Genomic DNA, 6000 nt, shown 5'->3' on the forward strand with positions numbered 1-6000 from the left:
TACAGAATGGGAGAAAATGTTTGCAAACTATGCATCTGATAAAGGTCTAATATGCAGCATCTGTAAGAAACTTAAACAAATGTATAAGAAAAAACCAACCCCATTACAAAGTGGGCAAAGGACATGAACAGACACTTCAAAAGAAGACATACATACAGCCAACAAGCATATGAAAAAAACTCAACATCACTGATCATTAGAGAAATGCAAATAAAAACCATCATGAGATACCATCTCACATCTTTTTAATAATAGCCATTCTGACCATGAGATGGCGATTATCAAACATTTATTTTTATTAAATTTTTAAATATCAAATTAAACATTTATTTCTATTAAAATCTTATTTTTTATTTTATTAAATATTTATTATTTTTAATATTAGCCATCTCACAGACATAATGGCTACTATTAAAAAGTCAAAAAATAACAGATGCTGGCGAGGTTGCAGAGAAAAATGCGTACACGCTGTTGATGGGACTGTGGATTAGTTCAGCCTCCGTGGAAAGCAGTGTGGTGATTCCTCAAAGAGCTGAAAACAAAACTACCATTTGACACAGCAATCCCATTGCTGGGTATATACCCAAAAGAATATAAAGCATTCTATCATTAAAACAGATGCAAGCATATGCTCATTGTGGCACTATTCACAATAGCAAAGACGTGGAATCAACCTAAATGCCTATCAATGGCAGACTGGATAAAGCAAATATGGTACATATACAACATAGAATACTATACAGCCATAAAAAAGAATGAGATAATGGATGGAGCTTGAGGCTGTTATCCTTAACAAACTAACATATGTACAGAAAACCAAATACCACATGTTCTCACTCATAAGTGGGAGCAAAAGGATGAGAACAAATGGACACAAGGGGAACAGACACTGGGGCTTACCTAAGGGTGAAGGGTGGGAGGAGAGAGAGGAGCAGAAAAAATAACTATTGAGTACTAAGATTAGTACTAAGTGAGGAAATAATCTATACAATAAACCTCTGTGACATAAGTTTACCCACGTAACAAACCTGCACATGTACCCCTGAACCTAAAAGTTTATTTAAAAAGTGATGTGAAATTTGATAGTGGTAGTGGTTGCACAACTCAGTGAATGTGCTAATAAAACTACGGAATTGTGTGCTTATAAAGGGTGAATCTTATGGTTTGTGAATTATATCTCAGTATAACTGTGATTTTTAAAAAATTAACAGTCTCAAAAAAATAAAAATAAAACAGAAAATATTCAAAAGAAATAATGTGGACCTCTAGGATGTGTCTGCCAAAAAAAAAAAAAAAAACAAAAACAGAAAATTCTGTAAAAATAAAAAGAACAAAATGAAAATGATCAAACTGAAGAGTATAATATGTGCAATAATTATTCACTGGATGTGCTTAACAGTAGATTGCAGATAACGGAGGAAACTATCTGTAGATATTATGCAAACTAAAGAGGAGAGAGTAAAAATATTATTGAAGAAGTGAGAGGAGACTTGAGGAACTATGGGAAAATAGCAAAAAGTCTCCTGGACATTCAGAAGAAGGTGAAAGAAATAAGGAATAAAAATTGTTGAAAGGGTTAGTGGCTAAAATTTCCCAAACTTTGGAGAAGACATAAATTTACAAATTCAAGAATTCAGAAAATGCCAAGCAGGATAGATATAAAGAAATTCACATCTAGGGAGATCACAGTCAAATTACTAAAAACCAAAAATAGAAACCTTTGGAGCACTCAGAGAGAAATGACACATTACATAAAGGGCAATAATAACTCAAAATCTTGCTGATTTCTTATCAGTAAATATGGAGTCCAGAGAGTCGTGCAATAATCTTTAAAGTGTTAAAAAAATACCCAGAATAAAAATAACCAATGATATTTTCGTTCAAGAATAAAGGTGAAAATAAAGATATCTTACAACAAAACAGGCCAGGCACAGTCGCTCACGTCTGTAATCCCAGCACTTTGGCAGACCAAGGCAGGAGGATTATTTGAGCCTAGAATTTTGAGGCTGCAGTAAGCTATGATTGCACCACTGCATTCCACCCTGGGTGACAGAGTGAGACCCCATCTCAAATAAAAGAACCCCCCACAACAATTAAACAAAAAAGATAAAACCAACATAATTTATTGTCAGAAGATCTGCATGATACGAAATAATGAAGTGTTTCAGATTCAAGGAAAATGATACCAGATAGAAACATCTGTCCTTAGGAAGGAATAAAAGGCATTGGAAATTTTAAATATCTGGATAAACATAACATACTAGATTTTCTTAATTTATTTAAAATAAAGCAAAAATTGTAGCATTGTCTTAGGACTGTAATATTTTCAGTTATTATATTACGGCAGCTATAACATAAGGGAAGGGGTGATAAATGAGTATATGGGGTTACAAGGTTTCTACATTTTATGATGTGTTACGCTATTAACTCTAAATAGAGATAAAAGTTAAGGACATAAATTGTAATCCCCAGAGCAATCACTAAAAGATTTCTTTTAGAAAAAGAAAATAATGCAAAGAGAACTAAAAAAACCAAAAGATAAAATAAATAGAATTCTAAAAATTATTTTAAAAACCAGGCAGTAAAGAACAAAGAAAGAAGCAAAAAGAGAGGAGACAAACAGAAAACAAACTAAACTAGCAGACCTAAATTCAACCATGACAATAGTTACAATAAATGTGAATGGACTAAATACTTCAATTAAAACCCAGAAATTAACAGAATTTATTTTTTTAAAAAAGCAAGAAGCAAAGCAACTATATCCTACCTAAAAGAAATGCCTGTAAGTAAGTGGATGGAAAAAGATAACCACGTAAACAGTAAACATAAACAGCTGGACTTGCTGATTTTGTAGCAAACAGATTACTGCTTTCGCCAGTTATCAATTTTATTGTCTCCCAGCTCCAAATCCATCCTCCTTTGGCCTGCTTTATGGTACTGTAGGTGGACTTTAAATATTTCACCATTGCCAACTTTGTTACGTTATGTCAGTAGAGGGTGCTGCAGGGACACGGTAGGAGGAAAGGGCTTTTCTTTCCGGTTTGGTGTACTTTTCTTCTTTCTCCCAGGCATGAGTGGCCTGTAGTGTGTGTGCAAGACATCCAGTGGTGCTCGCTTCCCACTGACTTAGTGGCAACTTTCTGGGCAGCTTTCTAGCCAGTTTGCACCAGCTGACATTCCAATGACTCTTTCGGGTGCCTCAGTAGGTGCCTTTCCAGTGAGTTCCAGCGACACCTTAGTGAGTAGTTTCCTAGTGAATTTTGTCAGGACCCTACTGTGCTGCCAGTTCTAGTTTGTACCTCCATGAACTTCTCGGCCATCCAATGTGCCAAACTCACATTTCCAACCAGGTCTGAGTCTCATGCTTCCGGCCCTGTTCAAAATGTGTTTCTTCCTTAGGTACTGTTCCTTAGCCCCAGAGGTAGTAGCTGCTCTCTGTACCTGCCATTCATCATTCATGGTAGAGCTTGCTCTGCCCCTTAGTAATTAATCTCCTGTTACTACCGAACAATTCCTTAGATTAAATTTGCCCTGTTCCACTTCTGTGTGATTTCTGGACCTTGACTGATATAGATCTCAAGACAAAGAGCTTTATTAAGGACAAAAAATAACATAATTACAAAATAAAAAATAAAAAGCCCCTTTATGGATTGCTGGAGCTTAGGGGTTCTGGTCTTCAGTGAGCTATGATAGCAAAACTGCACACCAGTCTGGGAAACAGAATGAGACCCTGTCTCAGGAAAAAAAATCAAACAAAAACAAAAACAAAAACAAAAATAAAAACAAAAAACAGACAAAAAAAGCCCCTATGAAATGATAAAAGGTCTCATCAAGAAGACATTTAGAATTGACAAAAAGGAACAAATGGATCATTACAGTAGTAACTGGAGACTTTAACATCCTTCTCTCAGAAATTAGAAAAAATAAAAGACATAAATGTTCTGAACAAAACTATCAAACACCTTAAACTAATTAATATGTATAGGACACTATGCTGTAACTAGAAGATACTCATTCTTTTCAAGTACATGTGTTCATCAGAGTGATTATGTTTTCAGCTACAAATTAAAGAAATTAAAACAATTAAAAAGGATTAAATTTATATAAAGTATGTTCTCTGATCTCAATGGAATTAATTTGAAGTCAATAATAACAATAAGATACCTTGAAATATCACAATATTTGATAATAAATATACTTCTAAATAATACATGGATAAAAGAAATCATGCAGAAAATTAGAAAACATTTTGATCTAAATTCGAATAAAAATACAACATATCAGAATTTGCAAGATAGAACAACAGCAATGTTTAGAGAGAGTTATTGCTCTGAACAATGACCCCTGAGACTACTGTAAGAAGCCACCAAAAGAACACCAAAATAAATGCAAAATTAGAAAAAAGAAAGTAATAAAAATAATATGTCTAAGATAAAGTGTATAAAAAATGGCTAATAATTTTTAAAATTAGTAAAGCCCAAAGGTGAGTTTTTTGAAGACTCAGAAACTTAGTAAAACTCTAGCTAGACTGATTAAGGAAAAGGATGAGAAAATACAAATTATCAATATCAAACATAAGAAAAGGGATTATTATTTTGGATACTACAGATACTTAAATGATATTAAAAGAATATTATTAATAACTTATGTCACATATTCAACAACATATTCAACACATTATTTGAAAAATACTGTTTACCAAAACTGACATAAGAAAAAACAGAAAATCTGAATAGCCCTATTTCTAATAAGAAATTAAATCATTATCAAATCCTCTCACAAAGAAAACTTCAGGTCTAGAAGGCTTTACTGGTTCTATCAGACAACAAAAAAAGAAACAAAATTGGCTGGGTGCAGTGGCTCATGCCTGTAATCCCAGCACTTTGGGAGGCTGAGGCGGGCGGATCATGAGGTCAGGAGGTTGAGAGCATCCTGGCCAACATGGTGAAACCCTGTCTCTACTAAAATACAAAAAATTAGCTGGGCATGGTGGCACGTGCCTGTAGTCCCAGCTACTTGGGAGGCTGAGGCAGGGGAATCACTTGTACCCGGGAGGTGAAGGTTGCAGTGAGCTGGAGATTGCAGTGGGCCAAGATCGAGCCACTGCACTCCAGCTTGGTGACAGAGCAAGACTCCAACTCAAAAAAATAAGTAAATAAATAAATAAAATTAAATCCTATCAAATCCTATCAGACATTAAAGAAAGAACTGAAACCAATCTTACATAAATAGTTTCACAAAACAGAGAAGAAAAACTTCCCAACTTGTTTTATGAAGCCAGCATAACCATAATGCCAAAATCTGACAAAATATTAAAAGTAAATAAGGCTAATATCCCTTATGAACATACATGCAAAAATACCTAACAAGATTAGCAAGTTGAATCAGTAATAGAAAAAAAGAATAATATATCATAATCATGTAAGTTTTAATCCCACCATGCTAAACTTAATTAATGCTATTTGCTATATTAATATAGAAGAAAAATCACATAATCACTTCAATAGATGCAGAAAAAGAAATTTACAAAATTTAAAATCCATTCATGTTAAAAAAAAGTCCCAGAAAACTAAAAATAGATGAACATTTCTATAAGCTAATAAAGGACTCTACCAGAAACCCTGTAGCAATTATTATACCTAATGGTGAAATACTGAATACTTTTCCTAGGCTGAAAATACTGAATACTTTTTCTAGGTTGTGTCTCCTAGATAGGAAATGAAGAAAGGATCCAACAATAAAAATACTGGAAAGTTAATAAAGTGGATGAAGTAAAACTGTTTCTATCTGTAGCTAATATAATCATTTACACAGAAAATCCACAGGAAACTGCAATACATATATTAGACCTAATAAGTAAATTTAGCAAAATAGTAGGGTACAATGTTAACATGTAAAAATCACTAAAAATTTATAGCAGTAAATATGTAAATACTTTCATTTACATGTTATACAACATAAAATATTTTGGAATAAATTTAACAAAGATGTAGAGAACCT

The sequence above is a fragment of the Homo sapiens genome, chromosome 11 (assembly GCF_000001405.40).
Source record: "Homo sapiens chromosome 11, GRCh38.p14 Primary Assembly".
NCBI classification, from domain to species: domain Eukaryota; kingdom Metazoa; phylum Chordata; class Mammalia; order Primates; family Hominidae; genus Homo; species Homo sapiens.